The 19375-nt window shown below is 56.4% G+C and overlaps 1 protein-coding gene across 10 annotated transcripts in view, besides 7 other annotated features; it reads right to left on the bottom strand.

The window, feature by feature from the left end:
* Positions 1 to 19375, bottom strand: part of DNAJB6 (DnaJ heat shock protein family (Hsp40) member B6) — an 80436-nt gene that overhangs the window by 1627 nt on the left and 59434 nt on the right. For 5 of the 10 annotated variants that reach the window (NM_058246.4, NM_001363676.1, XM_047419698.1 and 2 more), the window contains one exon: positions 5812 to 6018. The exons of 1 other annotated variant lie outside the window; for it this stretch is intronic. In NM_058246.4, the coding sequence (NP_490647.1) occupies positions 5812 to 6018 (207 nt within the window). Of the gene's footprint in view, positions 1 to 1125; positions 6019 to 19375 lie in introns of those variants that run through there. 4 more of the 10 variants (XM_005249516.3, XM_047419695.1, XM_011515704.2 and 1 more) reach the window with 2 other exon arrangements.
* Positions 4429 to 5426: an enhancer, noted in NCBI's record as "H3K27ac-H3K4me1 hESC enhancer chr7:157203081-157204078 (GRCh37/hg19 assembly coordinates)". NCBI's record gives its function as "activates a minimal SCP1, AML or CMV promoter by ChIP-STARR-seq in primed H9 embryonic stem cells {active_cell/tissue: H9 hESC(primed)}" and the evidence as "EXISTENCE:reporter gene assay evidence [ECO:0000049][PMID:30033119]".
* Positions 5427 to 6426: an enhancer, noted in NCBI's record as "H3K27ac-H3K4me1 hESC enhancer chr7:157202081-157203080 (GRCh37/hg19 assembly coordinates)". NCBI's record gives its function as "activates a minimal SCP1, AML or CMV promoter by ChIP-STARR-seq in primed H9 embryonic stem cells {active_cell/tissue: H9 hESC(primed)}" and the evidence as "EXISTENCE:reporter gene assay evidence [ECO:0000049][PMID:30033119]".
* Positions 6427 to 7426: an enhancer, noted in NCBI's record as "H3K4me1 hESC enhancer chr7:157201081-157202080 (GRCh37/hg19 assembly coordinates)". NCBI's record gives its function as "activates a minimal SCP1, AML or CMV promoter by ChIP-STARR-seq in primed H9 embryonic stem cells {active_cell/tissue: H9 hESC(primed)}" and the evidence as "EXISTENCE:reporter gene assay evidence [ECO:0000049][PMID:30033119]".
* Positions 9283 to 9952: an enhancer, noted in NCBI's record as "H3K4me1 hESC enhancer chr7:157198555-157199224 (GRCh37/hg19 assembly coordinates)". NCBI's record gives its function as "activates a minimal SCP1, AML or CMV promoter by ChIP-STARR-seq in primed H9 embryonic stem cells {active_cell/tissue: H9 hESC(primed)}" and the evidence as "EXISTENCE:reporter gene assay evidence [ECO:0000049][PMID:30033119]".
* Positions 13325 to 14315: an enhancer, noted in NCBI's record as "H3K4me1 hESC enhancer chr7:157194192-157195182 (GRCh37/hg19 assembly coordinates)". NCBI's record gives its function as "activates a minimal SCP1, AML or CMV promoter by ChIP-STARR-seq in naive H9 embryonic stem cells {active_cell/tissue: H9 hESC(naive)}" and the evidence as "EXISTENCE:reporter gene assay evidence [ECO:0000049][PMID:30033119]".
* Positions 14572 to 15130: an enhancer, noted in NCBI's record as "H3K4me1 hESC enhancer chr7:157193377-157193935 (GRCh37/hg19 assembly coordinates)". NCBI's record gives its function as "activates a minimal SCP1, AML or CMV promoter by ChIP-STARR-seq in naive H9 embryonic stem cells {active_cell/tissue: H9 hESC(naive)}" and the evidence as "EXISTENCE:reporter gene assay evidence [ECO:0000049][PMID:30033119]".
* Positions 17612 to 17691: an enhancer, noted in NCBI's record as "active region_26929". NCBI's record gives its function as "activates an Ori minimal core promoter by ATAC-STARR-seq in GM12878 lymphoblastoid cells {active_cell/tissue: GM12878}" and the evidence as "EXISTENCE:reporter gene assay evidence [ECO:0000049][PMID:35858748]".

Genomic DNA, 19375 nt, shown 5'->3' with positions numbered 1-19375 from the left:
CACCCTGCAGAGAAGTGAGGACTCCCACCTACCCGAGTTCCGCCCAGCGGCAGAGCTAAAAGCCCACCCTGGGACTACCCCAGTTCTGCCCAGCGGCAGAGCTAGAAGCCCACCCTGGGCACGGCTGCACCTCAGTCCTGGAACCCCACCCTGGGACCTACCCCAGTTCCGCCCAGCGGCAGAGCTAGAAGCCCACCCTGGACACGGCTGCACCTCAGTCCCGGAACCCCACCCTGGGCTCTCCTTCAGAACGCACACTGGGCCTGCGCAAAGGTGTGCCCACCTGTGGGGAGGGTGTCCACAGGTGTCTCCTCCGCTTCCCCCGCTGGCCACAGTGCAGCCTTTCTGCAGGCAAAGCCTTGGTGTGGACTGGCCTCATGTTTGCCAGCTCTGTGCCATCCAGCGTGAGAAAGTCCCATTTCTTATTGAGGAAAGTCTTTCATTTCCCTGTTGCTAAAGTCAATGGCTGACACTGACTGATCCAGCTGAAGTGCATGGAGAAAGACGCCCACCCTCTGAACGTCTGATCCAACGTGCCAGAAATAAACACCTCTGGATTCATTTCTGCAGAAACTGTCTTGAACTCAGTGTGTGCCAACGTGGGTGCAGGAAACAGGCCCGATGTTGAATTTGGCCACAATTGTCAACATGACTGGGCAGAGGGAACATGGCCGGCAGCAGGCAGGGCAGGCCTGGGTCCCACACGCACAGGCCCTCAACCTGCCAGAACTCTCCAAAGACCCACACAACTTCACATGGTGGCATCGTGCCTCACAGGAAGGTGCCTGCTCACAGCCCTCTTGGGGGCCTGAGGCCCTGCCCACACTCAGGACTCGCCCCAGAGAATCACAATCATGGTAGGCCGGGTGCCAGGCTCCAATCAGATGCATTCCACACCCAGCTGACGGCCGCCACGCTGACCAACATGTCACAGGTGCAAGTCCACTGAGTGTGGCTCACACATGTCCTGGACCACAGTGGGGCAAACACATGTGGACTTTCAAATGTGCTGTGGCTCTCACCACTGAGCACTGCCTGGACCCCGACAGCTCTCCACGAGAGAGGGACAAGCCTGCAGATCCAGTCCACACCCCACCCACAACCACACCACACCACACTCGCCTGTGACCCGTGCACAGTGGAGGCTGCCACCTTCCTCGCCAGAGGAGCGCGTCCTAACCGCCCTACAGGAGCAGCACGAGATGCGCGTTCAGAACCGCCAAGCGTTCCATGCTGCATATTTAGGAAATGTGCCTCAAGCTACGGTTACGGAAAGAAAGAACGAACAGAGAGAGGCCTGTGTGCCGTTGGCGGCTGCAGAGGCCGCTGAGTACCTGCTTCCAAAGCAGGGAGGCGGCTCTGCGGAAAACGCAGAGGAAAGGAAGCGGGAGGAAGCCAGGAGATCTCCGTCCCGAGGAGCATGCGGGGAGCCGCCGTGACTGTGGAGGGCGGCCAGGGCAGAGCCAGCTCTTGGAGGCCGTGTCCCTCAGAGGAGCCTCGTGCCCCGGGACCCAAGGGACCCCGTGGGATGGGGGCGGGGTGGGGGGGTCAGCACCGCCTGCGGTTCCTCCGCTTCAGCAAAGCAAACTTTACCAAGACCCCAGAACAAAGGGAGTAACGGAGCTCCTTTAAAGCAACTGCTGCCACTGGGCCTTTATGAGCTAGGGACGGAAAGCCTGAGGTGACCACACTGCAGTCGCCCTCACCCGCCCTGGGGCTGCCGGGATGGTGGGGGAGGGGCGGGTCCGGTACAAGGAAACCACTTTCCGGTGTTCTTCAAGCCTCCACTATTGCCGGGCGCGGTGGCTCCCGCCTGTAATCCCAGCACTTTGGGAGGCTGAAGCGGGGGGATCACCTGAGGTCAGGAGTTCGAGAGCAGCCAGTCCAACATGGAGAAACCACATCTCTACTAAAAATACAAAAATGAGCCAGAAGTGGTGGCAAGCACCTGTAGTTCCGGCCACTGGGGAGGTGAGGCAGGAAAATCGCTGGAACCCTTGAGGCAGAGGTTGCAGTGAGCCGAGATCACGCCACTGCACTCCAGCCTGGGCGACAGAGCGAGACTGTCTCAAAAAAAAAAAAAAAAAAAAAAAAGTCCAAAATTGAAGTGAGAAAAACAGAGCAGGCCTTCCTGTCACCTGAACCTCCTGCAAATCACAGACATGGCCTTGGGCACCGGCTCGCGGGCTCTGGGACTTCGTGGGACCGCCAGCCTTGGGCACAGTCCACAGAGGCACGCTCTCCCACCAGTGACTACTTAAAAACTTGTCCTGATAGAAAACGACTTAAGTTTTCTTATCAAGTTTAAGGACTTGAAAACCCTTAAGTATAAATACACAAATTAGTTTCATTAAAAAGACAAACTTCGAGCTGTTGAAAGCTGAGGGCAGGGTTAGATTCCCATCTTCAGTTCCGAGAGCTCCATGCTGTGCTTCACAAAAAGGGAGACATTCTACAGCGTTCCAGGGCAGGCTGCTTTCCTCAGCCAAAAAAACAAAGGACCTGCTTTATTCTTTCTTTCCTGTTCAGTAATTTTACTTTTCCTTTTTTAACAGTTACGTGTTCTTGATACTCCTACAGTATGTGTGGAATTCACAAACACAAAACATCACTCGGCCTTTCCAAAGCCTGAGTGAGGATCCGGTGGGTTCCCGGTGGTGCCTCTGTCCTCTGAACGCAGGCAGGGCGAGCGCTGGGTTTGAGGACTCCACACAGCAGCAAATGCCAGCCACGGGAACCCCACACCACGCAGCAGGGACAGGCGCTCCCCGCTGACTGTGACAGGGCACCCCCTGCACCCCGCGCTCCCCGACATTCCTGCTTCCACTGGCTGCACCCGTTGTCAATCACACCAGACACAAGGAGGGGAAATTCTCACAGAAGCAGTACGTTCAGTATTTTGAGGGGTGCATCTCAAGTGAGAGCTCATTTCCAGCCTAAAAAAAATCATGCCCTAGAACCGCCCAGGCCTGGGGGCTGCACACCTGGCTGTGACCCTGTGAGTGGAAGCTCGCTCACTCCTGGGAGCTCCGACAGGACCTGCTCGATTCAGGGACGGGTCAGACGGCTGGAGGCCAAAGTGGGGGCCATCAATACTGTCGGGTGGCCGGTCTCCTCACTGTATTCCTTTTACAGGAACCTTGACCAGGACATGCAAATCCCACAAAAAGATGATAGTGGGATCTTCCAGGCACCCAGAGGCCTGGCCAAGAGTCATGGGTTTTCTGTGACAAGGGGCTTCGGGGAAAGCGAGACCTTCAGTGACGCAGAAATGCAGCAAACCAGTATCCTGACTCAGGAGCCTGTGTTATCGCTACAAAGTCCATTCGTCAGAACACCCAGCAGGCTGGAGCTAAGGGGTCTGCACCCGTGTGACTTTGTCACTCCCACACTAGCACGTGCCCTTCTCTGTAAGCATGTACAGTTGTTCGGATTTGGTGGTGCAGGTGCTCATTGTATAATGAGCGAGCCTGCAGGGGCGGAGGCTTGCTCAACCTCTTCCCTGTCACCCACCAGCACCCTGACACCGGAGTTGGTGAGTGAGTCGCAAATGGCCTCTGCAGAGACCAAAACCACCCTGCTTTGCAATTTCACTCCAGTTCTGTCTCCAACTCTGCAGCGGTTTCTTGACTCATCCTTTGAGTCAGCTTTGTCATCTCTCAGTAAGAACTTAAGTAAAAGTCTCTGACGTGTTCGTTATATATTTGTATAAAAATCACGTCTTTAAATCTTTGATGGTTACTTTGGTATCTTCAAGATCTCATGAAGCGATTAAAAAAAGGAAACAAATGAGAGGAAAAGCCGCAAAACGGAAGATCCACAAAGAGGATCCGGGCAGAAACAAAAGCCATCACTGGCCTCTTTGCTCTAAGGATTTGTGTTGGGATTCAGCAGTCAACCAGTTCTCCCCACTCAGAAACGGTGTATGGCGGGGAAGCCGAGAATACGTGGGGAGAACAGCGCCTGCCTGCCCGTATCAGTCCCGCCCACAGCCATAGCCACAGGCGCTGAAGGCCTGGGAGGAGAAGACCCGCCCAGTTCTGACATACAGGTGTGGCCTCGGGCCTGCGGTGGGTGCCGTTCCAGGAGCCTCACCGCACTTTAAACATGGCTCCCCCAGGCGGCCCGCACCTGCACACCACGTTCTCGGGGCCTGCGAAATCACAAGGCCCCTAGCAGGCCAGGCTTCCGGTGGCCTCCTAACCCCAGTGGTTCAGGGACACTACAGCTACAACCCTGCTCTATCCTGCACCTTGCAAAGACCCATCGACAAACAGTGCACCCTCCCTACGGCCATCAGACCCTCCAGTACCAGGAGCGCACAACAGACCCTGGGGAGCCTCCCCAACGCCCGCTCAGTGCAGGGATCCTGGGGAGCCTCCCCTACGCCCGCTCAGTGCAGGGATCCTGGGAACCTTCCCCACGCCCGCTCAGTGCAGGGATCCTGGGAACCTTCCCCACGCCCGCTCAGTGCAGGGAACCGTGGGGAGTCTCCCCCACCCCGCTCAGTGCAGGGATCCTGGGAACCTTCCCCACGCCCGCTCAGTGCAGGGAACCGTGGGGAGTCTCCCCCACCCCGCTCAGTGCAGGGAACCGTGGGGAGCCTCCCCCACCCCGCTCAGTGCAGGGACCCTGGGGAGCCTCCCCCATGCCCGCTTAGTGCAGGGGGAGTTCTTTCTGGGTGCATGCAGCCTGCAACTGCCTCTGTCTGTCACTCAGTGACACAGCACAGACTCACACAGCAAAGGTGAGCGCAGCACGGCAGGTGGGCGGCCGGCTGGAGGGGCTGCCGTGCCCACCCACAGGCGGCACATCCTGAGGCTCTCACGGCTGGGGGTGCACCTTCCGTCCTCCTCGGAAGCGTAACCGGCAACTGTGCTTCATCCGAGAAGGACTGGAAGGGGCTAATTTTTCAATGGAAAGTTCCATGAAGGGAAAAGGAGAGACGCTTCCCCCTTCTTTTCATGTCCTGCTTAGACAGTGCTGTTCGGCCCAAGTCCACAGAAGTAACCTCACGACATCCGCTTCGGTCCCCCAAACCCAGGGATCAACCATCCATGTCTTCCTGCACGACATGAGCGGCTGGGGTCACCTCACCGCGTGCGGTGATAAGAACCAGAAGAGGCACAAATACTTCCAACTGACGCACGATTCACACTACATGGACCCTGGGCTTTAGGACGCAGTCAGGGCCAAGCCTACATGCACAGCACGTCCTCAGGGTGACCCAGAACTTCTCCGGGGCACTCACTTCAGAGACTATCCGGCTCCCTAACAGGTGGGAGGAGGGCAGGGCGGCCAAGAACCCCACGGGGGGTGGGCGGGCAGACTACGCTTCACAAGGAGGCTTGACTTGAGGGGGTCTTTTGTTCTGCACCCAGCGCAGAAGAAGGCACGAGAAGGTGAAGCTGACGGAGGGGCAGGGGCAAACGCAGACCCCACCAGCACGAGACCACCCGGCCTAAGCCACAGGCCTCAAGCTCTACGCTGAAAGCTACGAAAAGGCACGTCTACGGTAAAAGCAGCACCTCGCACTGCCGTGGCAGCTCTGTCATCCTTTGCGGAGCAACACGCTGCGTACAGGACACGCGGACCCCGTTTTAACGGTGGGGGGCCCGGAGCCACCGTGGCGTGGGGCGCCGCGAGCGGGAGAGGAGCAGAGCGAGGCTACCTCCTCCCGCCCCGCCCGACCGCCCACGCCCGCTCAGGTCAGAACACAGCAGCCCAGGCGCGGTTTGTGTCCTCGCTGTCCTCTGGCACCCAGAGAAGTCTCACTCTGCGCCTGCTCCACGGCTGCCTCCCTTTGCACACCTGCTGCGGACGCGAGGGGGTCCCAGGGCCCGGGTGCCCGAGGTCGGTCCTGCTCGCCCTCCTCCTCAGAGAGACAGTGAGGCGCGTGTCTCAGCAGCGAGGCAGGCCGGGGCGGCTTCGGCGGGCGGAGGCCGGCAGGCTGGGCTGGCAGGGCGTTCTGGCCTCTCCGCATGCGCTCCTCAGCGAGGGCATCGTCGTCGGCCACACCTGCAGGCACAGCGGGAGAGAGAGAGCCGTGAGTGAGCGGCGGCGGCCGGCCCCCATCCAGAGCAGAGGGAGGGAAGCTGGCCGCACGATCTCCCTGAATCCAGACGCGCCATCTCCGGGCAGGAGAAAGAGGTTATCTCCTTTCTTCAGTGGCGCCACTGGGGCCAGAACTTAATCCTCCAAGAGTGGGAAAAAAGTGAGTCATCAGAAAATCACCCCTCTCTCTCTCCTGGAAGAAGCGGCTCCCCGCCCCACCAGCTTTGGCACAGTCAACACGCCTCTTCCGAGAGTGAGTGTGCCCCACTGAAATCACGGTCAGGGCTGACAAGTTCGCTGTCAAAACCAGCCAGCTGAGCCACCCTGGGGAAGAAAGGTTCTGGGTCCAGTTGGCGATTTCCTCCTGAGTCCATACACGGAAGACATCCCCTCTCCGCCTCGTGCTGGAATAAATCTGTGGCAGCAGCGGCGGCGCCCACGGGAGCCACAGCCCCGCCCAAGGCAGGGCCATCCCGGCCACTCCAGTGCAGCTCCAGCTCTGGCCCCGCACAACACACACACCCAAGACGGGCCGGCTTCTCAACGCTCTGAAAAGTTGTGCTTTTATTAATCTTTGAAATACAGAAAAAGTCATTGGAAGGCCATGCATTAAAAAAAAGAAATATGGAAAAAATGTTTTGAACGCTGAGGAATAAAAACAAGAAAACAATATTCACAGAATGTTCTCCACTGTGATTCTCAAAGTTTGAGTGGCAATCACTGCGTGGATGTGAGGGAGGCAGCTGCGTCAGAGCTCCAGGAGCAAGTGTGCGAGGCCGCAGGTGGTGGGATTCCTCGTCCCTCCGCAAACTCTAAAATGTGCCTAAAACGACTGTCGCACCCAGCACTTCGGGCCCCGAGCCCTGCGCAGATGTAAAGCAAGGCAGACCCCTCCCGTGGCACAGCAGAGAGTTTACGCCAGGGGCGGCCCCATCCTCCTCGCTTCCCCGCAAGCACTGAGGAGCACTCAGCCATTGAAATGCATCTGAAACCCAACGGACTGACAGACCGACAGACATTCAGGAGCTTCTCCAATTAAACTGGCCTATACACCACTTCCAGTGCTGAGTGCCAGGCCCAGGGCCTGCCCCCAGGAGCTCAAATGTGGCTCAACCACAACAGAGAGAACGGGCTCCGAGGTCAGGAAGGAACCTGCTCTCAGGCTGTCCCCTCAGGCCAGGCTCTGGTCTTTGGAGACCACGATGGTGATGCTGGCCTAAGGAAGACCCCCACACAAGTGCAGAAATTCATCTCCAATGAACACCAAGACCTGGGCAACTCGCAGCCTGGAGCCTGTGTGTCCCCAGAGGGGAGGGCAAGCCTCACAAAATCCTAAAGCCACAGCACGGCGCCCACAGGGCTCCATCGTTTCTGGAATTCAGCAAACCCAAGAGGAGGCGCAGGCCTCAGATGTCACCTTCTACCCCAATCCTATTTCCCCACACTTTGAACACAGAAACGTGATTTTGGGGACCATTTAACCAAGCACCGTAAACGCAGGCTGTGAGGCTTGACCTATGACACCCCATTGTCAACACCCGGCCCGCGCGTCCTGCCAGGGGACCCCAGGACCCCTGCTGAGATGGCTGCACCAGGAGAATGCACGCACATCTCTCAGCATCACATGGAACTGTTGAGCTGAGAGGGGTCACCTAGCCCGGGGCCAGTTCTCCCCTTGGGAACTCCACGTGCTCACCTGCAGAACAAACAGGTGGCAGGGCTGCTGTCTGCGATTCTATGACGTGAGTGAAGTAAAACAGCACCCAGCACACAGGCCATGCCCGCGGGCGCCATGCACACACAGCACTTCCTGAGCACGCCTGCAGCAGGAGGAAACATGCCAGGGCGCCCGACCAGGCCCCAGTTGCAGGCTGGGAGCGAGGAGGGCTCTGGGACAGGGACACCCAGGACGTGGCTTCTCAGCAAACCAAGCTGTTTCCCAGCTGCCTGGACCCTGGCAAGAGAGCGGGACACATGGCGACAGTGCTGCGAAGTCGCTGTTGTGTGGCAACGTGGCTTCCAGATCTGACCTTCGAACTCAAAGGGGCCGTGTCGTCGAGAAGCATCTGCAGGCTGCCCGGGGACACCTGTGCACCCTGGGCCATCCCAGCCCCTTGGACACCAAGGAGAGACTCAGCACAGGTGCTCCCAGGGTACCACATCCCACCTTGGAGGGAGAGAGGAGAGACGAAGGGACCCACGCACACAGCAGCAAAGGGCCAACCAGAACCTGCCGGTGCTAAGCCCGTTCCTGCCTCCAGGAGGATTGCACCCAATACTCCGCCATGACTTTTAAGAATTATACTTTGCCAACTAAAGTAGAACATTTGAGAAAAAAATTTAAAGTTTCTGGTGTGTGACACACTGAACTGGACCCTAAATATCCATAGCTGTGAAGTCTTCCCCGGGGCACAGCGATGCAGCGTGAGCTCTGTCACTGCCGCCAGAAGAGCCGCCCCTGCCTGGCCCAGTCACAGCCCCCCGTGCCCAGGGAGCTTCAGAGCCAAGCGTGAGCCGCTCACTCGCCCCACTCCACGCGGAGGGAAAATGGGGGCAGGGTAACCCCACACATCCTGGCTCATCCTGGCTCTGGGAAGCCCAGTCTCGCTGCCAGTTGAAATTCTGCACTTCCAGCTCAGCTGCGGTTGGGACCCCCCCCACCTCCCAGCTGTTCCCCGCACCCCTGCTCCGCAGGTGAAAACGCGCCCCTGGGCGGGTGTCCGAGGACCTGTCTTCAGAGCGCTGTGGGTCAGCCGGGGCTGCCATCGCCTGGGGAGGGCCAGGCTGCGGGTCCAGCCTCGACCAGGGCTTCCCGCCCTCAAAGCCCAGCCTCCTCCCACCACGGAGGAAGAGAAACGCGCTGCCTTCAGAGCTGCTCTGGGGGAGGTTTTGCATTTACCGTCTGTTTAGAAAAAGGCCCCGCTGAGACTTAAGACTGATATTTTGAAAATGAATATTGAAGACACCTGCAGCGTCCAAAGCTCCCTGTGTCGTCTCCTCAGAGGCTGAGACCGCCAGGCAGGCATGGATGTTGCGTTCCTTCCAACCCCGGGCCGCTGAGCTGGCCGGCTGCGGGCTCAGAGAAGCCCTGGAGTGACTGGGGGAGAAAGGTGCAGGCTCCACGGCCACATCCACAGGGCAGCCTGGCTCCTGTGGATGCCTGCGCCCCATCCTCTCCTGCACAGCTCAGCCACTCCGCCCCCGGCCAGGTCCCGGCAACACCCAGAAGCCTCCCTCCCCCACTCACTTGGGAGGAAGGCTGGGGCTGGCACACGTGGCAGGTGGACAGCAGCTGCTTGGGTCTGGTCTCTAGAAAAACCCTTCTGGCCCCAGCAGTCCGACACAGTCCTGTGTCCCCAGGCCAAGCACACAAGGGACTCCCCAAGGTTCCTGTGAAACCTCATGGTTAGTGAGGTGCCAGGAAAAGTGACTTGAGGAAAGAAGATGAAGGTGGAGATGTGGACCTCCTTATCCAGATCTCCCTGGCATCACCTGGGGAGTCACGCAGCGTGCTGCTGCTCCAAACCCCCACACCGAGCTTCCCGTGGGCACGGTGCACTGCCGGCATGGACAGGGAGCGGCCGCCTCACGGCTGGGACACAGATGTGCCAGCAGGGGTCACCAGCTGTCTCACAAAAGGGACACACAGTTGGTCTGAACAGGAGGACTGCCCGATTCGGCCTCGATGGTTCTATCTGTTCAGAGCCAAGGCTCTGGGCGTCCTCCTGCTGCAGCTGCCCTGGCTACACGCCCGGCACTGCTGGAGGCTCTGTTCACCTCACTGCCAGGCGAAGCCATCACCTCCAAGGTTCTAACCTGCACTGTGGATGGAGCGTTCCCACCCCACTGCCTTCTACAGCTTTCCAGCAAGAAAAATGAAAAAGAGAAAGTGGCTGGAGAACAGTCACAGCAGGCAGGATGGACAGACCGGCTGCAGGAGAACCGGAACAAGCACCACCCCATGGCTCTCGCCTCGGACTCGGCCTCCCGGTCCCTCCCAGGCCCAGCATTATCCATTCTTCCTCCTGGCCACAACGGGATCAGCCCTGAGGTTCGGGTTTAATTGGCGCAGGATGTGGCCTGGTGCGGTCTGTCAAGGTCCCAGGAGACTGTACGGTGAGCTCCACGCCATGACAGGCTCTCCAGACATGCCCCCAAGGCCTCACATGCAGTGGCTCTCCATGTTCAGGGCTGACAGGGCCACTGCGTGAACTCTCTGTGGATCCCCACAGAGAGCAAGGCAGGTGTTCTTGGAAACCCAGCACCCTGGCCCATTCGCCTCCCAGTCACCACGAGGAGGAAGGAGCTGGGGCTGCTGATGCTGAGAACATGCCTCACAAGATATGGGAATGCACAGACCCACACTCCTGCCAGCATCCCAGGACGGAACAAGCCAGCCTCACGCACAGCCTGGAAGCAGGCGCCACACAGAGGGCCGAGGAACACACAACTCAGCACACTTCCCACAGCAACACCCTCTCCCATGGCAAAGAGCCCCCAGGACATTCTCTCGAACATCCTGCTAGAGCTCACGCAGCTATTGCACAACACGTCCTTGTATGATTCAGAATTTTCCTGCCACATCACCTTCTTATCTCTGCCATCGCCGCGTCCCACATGTGGGAGGACCTGGAGGTAGTGTTCTGCAGCACGTGTTCACCAAGGCCGGCCTGTCAGTGACCCAAGGACCCTGCTTCTGGCGCTCAACATGCCTGCAGTTCTGAGGATTCCATCAGTCCTTTCATGCGGGGAAGGGCCCAGACCACATCAATGTGTTCACACAAGTTACTGTTACACCAATCCTTTTAAAAACACTGCACAGGCTGGCACAGTGGCTCACACCTGTCATCCCAGCACTTTGGGAGGCTGAGGCAGGAGGATCACTTAAGCCCAGGAGTTTGAGACCAGCTTAGCTTTGAGATCAGCTTGGGTAACACAGAAAGACCCCATCTGGGCCAGGCACGGTGGCTCACGCCTATAATCCCAGCACTTTGAGAGGCTGAGGCAGGCGGATCACTTGAGGTCAGGAGTTTGAGACCAGCCTGGGCAACATGACCCCGTCTCTACTAAAAATACAAAAATTAGTCGGGTGTGGTGGCGTGTGCCTGTAGTCCCAGTTACTCGGGAGGCTCAAGCATAAGAATCGCTTGAGCCTGGGAGGCAGAGGTTGCAGTGAGCCAAGATTGCACCACTGCACTCCAGGCTGGGCAACAGAGCGAGACTCCTTACCAAAAAAAAAAAAGAAAAGAAAAAAGACAGACCCCATCTCTATCAAAAAAAAAAAAAAAAAAAGACAAAAATTAGCCCAGTGCGCTGTTGCACGCCTACAGTCCCAGCCGCTCTGGAGGCTGAGGTGGGAGAATTACTTGAGCCGAGGGGGTTCAAGGCTGCAGTGAGCTGTGATCGCACCACTGCACTCCAGCCTAACTGACAGATTAAGACTTTGTCTCAAAAAAAGAAAAAGAAAAAAAAAACTGCACAGTAGGGCTGAAAGTGGCAGCTCACACCTGTCATCCCAGCACTTTGGGAGGCTAAAGTGGAGGCTAAAGATCACTTGGGCCCAAGAGTTTGAGACCAGCCTGGGCAACATAGTGAGACCCCATCTCTACAAAAAAAAAGAAAAAATTAGCCAGGCCTAGTGGTGCATGCCTGTAGTCTAAGCTACTCAGGGGGCTGAGCTGGGAGGACGGCTTGAGCCTAGGAGTTCGAGGCTGCAGTGAGCTGTGATCGCACCACTGCACTCCTGCCTGGGTAACAGAAATCCTGCCTTAAAAAAAAACCCTGCACAGTAGGCTGAAAAGGTGTTCCTTCCCACCCTCAAGAAACAGCCAGTGCCCCTCACTCAACACTGAGGCTCCTGGGTCAGGGTGGACAGGAAGGCACCGCAGTCTCTGGAGCAGCCTCTGCTTCCGCTGCGAGTCCACACAGGGTGGGCTGCGCTTCCCCCTAAAGCCCCAGGGCAAGTATAACCGCTCTCTTTGGTTGCTAATTTGGGAAACAAGGTATTGTGAAACGACAATGAATCTCAGGACCCCAAAATCACTCAGCTAAAGGGAGAGAGCAAGCTGGGAACTGCATCGGGCACACCTGCCTCCCATTTTATTCCTAAAGAAGGTGGCTACAGCAGGGCACAGGGGTGCACACCTGTGGTCCCAGCTACTCAGGAGGCTGAGCTGGGAGGATCGCTTTACGTGAGCTCAGGAGGCAAAGGTTGCTGCGAGCTGAGACTGCACCACTGGACTCCAGCTTGGGCAGCAGGAATGAGACAATGTCTCAAAAAAAACAAACAAAAAAGCCACACACCTCCCTCACAATTTGTGCACAAGGAAATTCCCCGTGGGGCTCAAGATCTTTACCCTAGAGCAGTTGTTGGGTTTTCACCCTGGCAATGTCAGTGGACAGCTTATCTTCACAGGTGCAGACAAAGGACAGAACTCAAAGTCATCCCTCTGCTCCCCCGAAACAAACGCATATCTGACTGCTTCCTCTGCCCTGTTGTCTCACTGAGCCAGACTAAGGCACACGTGGCCCTTCCCCTACCCCCTCTCATATGTGGATTGTGTATTCAGTGAAAGGCTGATCAGAGACTCATAGAATGCAATGATTCGTCTTATCCACCTATGACCCGGAAGCCCCCGACCCCACGTCCAGCTGTCCCACCTTTCCGGAACGTACATCTTGCGTGTAGGGACGCCTCATGTCTCCCTGAGATGCATAAAACCAAGCCGCGCCCCGACCACCTCGGGCACCTGTCGTCAGGGCCTCCTGAGGCTGTGTCACGGGCGTGTCCTCAACCTCGGCAAAATAAACTTTCTACACTGACTGAGACGGTCTCAGATACTCCTGGTTCACAGTACGAAGGCAGACCAGAAGGCTGATGGAGAAAGTGGGGTTCCGTGGACTTTCTCCGTGGCCCACGGTGATGACTGTTCCCAATTCTAACAACGTTCCGGTTTACCCTGCCCTGGAAAAGTGCAGGGGCCAAAGAGTGGCTTACTTTAAATAAGAAACCACAGGCCCCATATTCCTTATTTGTTTTAAATTGGGACCACCCATGCACCGTAGGCCCCTGGGATGACTGGGGCCTACGTCCCCAAGACACATCGCTACTTCTCCTGCCACTCCCACAGCCCTCCCCTGGGACCCGGCTCCCTCAGGCCTACGGAGGTGGAAGTGGTGTGAGTGGTCTGGCCAGCCTGGGAGGTGTTTGTCTCTGAATGGAGATGGACACCATGCATAGCATGACGGCGCCAGACTCAAAGCACACATGGCCCTGTGGCCACCACAGGCAACCCTGTCACCCCACGCCCGCCCCACGGCCAGCAAGAGAGCATGGCAGGTGGGAGGGGGCCTCGCTGCAGGCCAAGCCGCTCAGCAGTGGGACTGTGCTGCACCCGCCACTGCACGGGCAGCATGGGTGCCTGTGGAAGGGGTGCAGCTCAGGGAAGAAGAGGCGCCTTCCCTGTGCTTCCACAGTCCCCTCGTCTTTAAAATGAGGACAAGGCCAGGGTGGACCCCGCCTGGGATCCCCACACTCTGGGAGGCCAAGCAGGGAGGATCACGTGGGCCCAGGAGTTCGAGACCAGCCTGGGCAACATAGGGAGACCCCATCTCTATAAAAAATAAGAAAATACAACGAGGATGAAACCCAGTTATCAATGCGGAGTGCGGCAGAAGCCACTCTCAACACAACAGCAGCCTGAAGAACCGAAGCCACAGAGAGCAGACACGCTCCCTCCGTCACAGCGACCGCAGGGGAAGGAGCCCTCAAGGCCTTCTGCTAAGATAAGCAGCCTGTGGGCTCCAGGCTTGCAACCATCCTGAGAGGGCCCACATCCAGGAAGAGCCGGCCTCTGCAACAGAGAGAAGGCAGGCGCCAGCCCGCTGCTGGGAAACTGAACAGGTCTGGGAAGGGCGCGTGGAGACGGCGGCAGGAGGGCCGCTGCTGCAGAGGTCAGGGCACACTCACACCGCCTCGGTCCTGTTCCCACCTCTGTTTCTATCTAATAGGCGGGAACCTCTTTATTGCGTAATGCTTCACGTCACAGCTCTCTCCCCTTAGTTCCACCCACCTTGACACATTTTTACACCTGATTTACTTCCCCTGTTACAAGCTGAACCATGTCCCCAAAAACTCACACACAGATGTCATGACTTCAAATCTACATTCGCTTTTAAAAACTGCTACATCCACCATATGAACAGGTCTCTGTGCTCTTTCCATTCCTTAAGAAGTATAAATTAGGTTGGTCAAGCACGGTGGCTCATGCCTGTAATGCCAGCACTTTGGGAGGCCGAGGCAGGCAGATCACCTGAGGTCAGGAGTTCAAGACCAGCCTAACATGGAGAAACCCCGTCTCTACTAAAAATACAAAATTAGCGGGGTGTGGTGGCGCGTGCCTGTAATCCCAGCTACTCGGGAGGCTGAGGCAGAGTTGCTTGAACCCAGGAGGTGGAGGTAGCGGTGAACCAAGATGGCGCCATCGCACTCCAGGCTAGGCAACAGAGTGAGACTCCTTCTCAAAAAAAAAGAAAAAAGAAATATAAATTATATAAATCATGTACACGACTGAAGAGCTCTGACTGCCAGCAATCCTTTGATACAGGAGGAGGAGCCCAGGTCACAGTAAGCCCTGCAGGAGGTGAGGGGCTCGTGGTGGGCCAGAGAAATCAGAGGCGAGGAGGCCGACAGCTGCCGGCACCATCAAAACCCGGGGCTTCGGCAAAGCAGGGACCACAGCGGGTAAGTCCCTCTCAGGAGTGGTTTTACCTCACCTCCCCTTTTAAGACAGAAAGAGGTCATCAAACCTTTTCAGCTTCCTAGAAATCCAGAGTCCGGGGTCACAGCCACACACAGAAACAAGCCAAGGGCTGGCCAGGGTGGGGACTCCAGCACACCTGCCTTCCACACCTTTGTGCCAGGCCCCTCTGCAGGATTCAGCGACCAACTCACTTCCAGAAAGATCCTTCCATGACCCACTCACGTCTCGCCCACCCACAGTTCCTGCCCCGCCTCATGACCTGTGTGCCTCATCAACACCCTCGACTTCCACCCGGGCTTCATCCCGGACCCACAGCTGACACGTGCCAGGCGGACGCAAGAGCCCCGGCGGTGAGCCTGGTGATGAGACATAGACCACCAGCGGCGGAGACCGCAAGACAAAGGTAATTCCAGAGCCAAGAACGTAAACACAGCCCACCCGAGGATCAAGTGCCCCTTCTCATTAGAAGCTCCTGCCAGGTTTAGGACCCAGCTTTAGAGTAACACCTACCAGGGAAGGATGACCAGGATGGAGCCGACGGCCACACCAAGGAGAAGAGCTCGGTGCCAGCGAAAGCTCTCCACCAGCCGGCCTGCTGCACAGCAAGCATCACGGCACACCACACACGAGCGTGTCCATGAAGGCGCGGGGACCCAGGCATCCCCCATGCTCAGACCTCCCTACGTACAAGTGCGTACACGAAGGCGCGGGGACCCGGGCATCCCCCATGTTCAGAACTCCCTAGACGCGAGCACATACACAAAGGCGCGGGGACCCAGGCATCCCAGCACCTCATGCTCACACTTCCCTAGAACTTGCTTTCCCGTTACTGCAGCTCACAAAGAAACCGAAAAAAGGCAAAACCAACTGTATTAAACCTTATTAGTGATCAATATCTACTTCATGTTTTGGCTTTACAAAGGCTTTACTGGGTGGTACAAAATACTGCACTTTCCCCAACTAAACAAAAACTTTGAACACCTGCATCATAAACTTAACTCATGCTGATATTCTCCTGACAAAATACAGGCCGGGTGCGGCGGCTCACGTCTGTCATCCAAGCACTTTGGGAGGCTGAGGCAGGCAGATCACCTGAGGTCAGGATTTTGAGATCAGCCTGGCCAACGTGGTGAAACCCCGTCTCTACTAAAAATACAAAAGTTAGCCAGGGGTGGTGGCGCGCACCTGTAATCCCAGCTACTCCAGAGGCTAAGGCAGGAGAATTGCTTGAACCCAGGAGGCGGACGTTGCAGTGAGCCACAACTGTGCCATTGCTCTCCAGCTTGGGCGACAGGGCGAGACTCCATCTCCAAAAAAAAAATACAGATAGAGAGAGAGATATATAGATATATAGTCACATGCAGCTTAGCAACAGGGGTATGTTAGGTGATGTCACCGCACTCAGGCCTAGAGGGCACGGCCCACTCCACACCCAGGCTGCAGGGCCCGGCCGACTGCTGCTAGGCCGCAAACCTGTGCCGCCATCCCAGCACTGAGCGCTGCAAGCAGCTGTAGGTCAACGGCAAGGATACAAACCTGGATCACATGCAGTGAAAATGCCGTCCTAACCTTACGCAACCCCTGCGGTCTACGTGGACCACCACTGGCCAAAATGTCCTGATGCGGTCAGGGCTGTTCTTTAGCACCAAGCAGGGGCAGGGCCACTTTCCTGGCACCTACTCATCAGGAGGCGAAAGACCTCCCTTCTAGGCATGAGCATCACCAGACAAGGCAGGGGATGGCGGGGGGCCACAGGGACCCGACCTGCAAAAGCTGCTGAGAACCTTCCAGTCAAGCAGCCTGACTCGTGCAAGATCTCACACGAAGAGCCCCCAACAAACTTGTCAGCGGAACTTCTACAAACATCCTTAAGAAAACAACTCAACTTCTCACAAATTAACCTAAAATTCCCCAAATTAAAACCAAAAAAGGGCATTCACTGCCGTTCAGCCTCACCCTCTGAGAGCCAACACCACTTTCTGAAAGCCAACCATTTTCTAAAATCTTTCTATATAGCCTTTTAAAACTTTCCATGTAATACCATTAATTACTCTTCTTTGGAAATTTACCACTAATTGTTTAAACAATTTTAGTTTAGCAATTTGTACGGAAAAGGCAATACACATTAGTTGTAGAAAAAACAAGTCACTTCTAATTCTACAGCCCATAGATAATTTACTGTTTGGGTATAATTTCTGCTTCTTCCTGTGTGTGAATTAAATATTAAACCTTATAAATTACTAAAATGTAGGCTGGTTACAACAGATCAAGTTTCTTTTTATTGGGGGAACTAAATATACCAGAAAACATCCTGTTTTGTAACCACAGTTAAATAAAATTTAAAAACAGAAACAAGATCTGCCAGCATCCCCCCCCTCAAGCCAAAAACACACTGAAATCATCGAGAAGCTATTAGAGGAATGTTCCGCAGCTGCCGCGCGGGCATGGCCATCTTATCAGAGGCTCCAGTTTCTTCCCCAAATGGAGTCTGAATGGAGTGCAGGAGCCTGGCTGATAACACGCAGATGAAAACAAACTCCTGCAGATAAAAACACGCTTTTCCCAAATACACACAATCCACGAGGCCCCTGGGGAGACTGCTCCTTTCTTTGACTTTTTTTGGGGAGAGAGGGGGGTTAGTCGCTACTTACACAAATTAGGAATACCACTCACACACTGCAGATTATTCAAACAACCAAAAATGCATGCCTGGCCCATCAGAAGATGGGCTCATTCAAACATTTAATGTGTGCCAGGCACTGGGGACACCCAGCAAGACCCTGCCCTCACTCCTAGGGAGCTCAAGGGTGGACAGACTCCAAACAATGTGGCAAGGCAGTGCTGTCTGTCTGCACTCTGCAGATACAAAGGCACATCGAACAGCCCTGGAATGGCAGACGCCATCTGCTGGGGAAACGCTAGGAACCCGGCTTCAAACACAGGGCAGAGCAGGTACGAAGGCTGAACAAGTTTTTGTTTGTTTTGAGACAAGAGTCTCGCTCTGCTGCCCAGACTGGAGTGCAGTGGCGCCATCTCAGCTCACTGCAAACTCTGCCTCCCGGTTCAAGTAATTCTGCCTCAGCCTTCCGAGTAGCTGGGATTACAGGCGTGGGCCACCACGCCCAGACTCCTGAACAGTTTTAAACAGGACAGTGACTTGCTTTTGCCAGCCACGTGATGGGCTCGTGACATAGAAGCTGAATTGAGAAGGATGAAGGGCAGAGGTCGAGAGGGAGAACAGGTGCCACAATTAACTCTTCATGGCTACTTATGAAGAGGTGGCTCCAGGGAATGAAGACGTGAAGGTCGGTTTGGAAATAACTGCTCCAAGAGCGCACTGGCTGACGGCACGGGGACGTGCCCAGGGCCCAGCTGGGAGAGGGATGGTGGCACTGGAGCACACATGGGGACACAGGAGGAAATCGGAGCACGGGCGAAGGCTGAGGACAATGAGGAGGAAAGTCTCCTGTTGGATTCCTCCCAGCATAAGAGGCTCACGAAACCCCGCCAACAAAAGGCCAAAAGATTCCCAGAAGCCCTGCTGGGGTTGGCATCCCCACTCATGTCAGAGCTGAACACACCACCGCAGCGACACAGAGGTTCCGGCCCAGCACCTGCAGGACACCATTCACCCGCACCCCCTCTCCCTGGCTGGGCGGCCGTGACTGGGTCTGGCTCTTCAGTGTCTCCTAGGTGCTGGTGCACAACAGAGGTTCAAGGAGACACCAAATGCTTACGTGAGGTGGAGGCCACATGCTGTTGTTACCACCTCAGCGCAGCTTAGCAACTTCCCAGGAAGCACGCCGCTCGGGTTACTCCTCAAGGGGTAGCTACAGACGCACGGGGCTGGCTTCACACGGGCCTCGCAGGGGCAGCCACGGCACAGCATCCTGATAGCCTGGATTCTGCACACACACCGCGTGCACACGTCCACATCGGTGAGAGGGGTGTGGACAGCATCCCTCAGCCGAGTGGTGAGGATAATTCCAGGAGGACCTGGAGTGAGGCACATTCAGCTACCACTGGCATCACGTCCCGTGGCAGGTTCAGGACCCCTTTCAGATGGAAACCAACTAAAGCACACTGTGGCGTCGGCCTTCCCATGTAGAAAAGGAGGCGGGCGGTGGATGTTTATGCCTGAAAAACCCCTTAGACTTGAACTGTCTGAAGTTCCTCAGTCTCGGGGGATACGCTGTGGCCTCCCTGCCCCGAACTGGGTCCCTTTGATTTGTGCCCATTTCCCAGGAACTCACAATATACGATACCCTGACAAAGGGCTATGAAAGCCGGAAATTACAGCCTTTGGTCATGTTTTAGTATGGACACAGCTGCGGTCCACAGAGTACCCCAGAGGGCAGCAGAGAGAGTGGACTCTCACACTGAGAGCAGAGGAGGGGGCCCAGGGCGCACTGCAGCCTCAACCCACAGGGCCAGGCCTCCTGGGGCCCTCTCCCTGCAGCCTTGGGCTGCCTGTCCCCACGGCTGACAGCATGGTGCTGGGTGGGGTGCCTGGGCTTTGCTGGAGGCAGAGAAAGGAAAAGTCTTTAGTTCCCTGTTTC

This window comes from Homo sapiens, chromosome 7 (assembly GCF_000001405.40).
Source record: "Homo sapiens chromosome 7, GRCh38.p14 Primary Assembly".
Taxonomy (NCBI): domain Eukaryota; kingdom Metazoa; phylum Chordata; class Mammalia; order Primates; family Hominidae; genus Homo; species Homo sapiens.
Note: the sequence above shows the minus strand (reverse complement) of the source record. Positions and strands in the feature narration are given on the sequence as shown.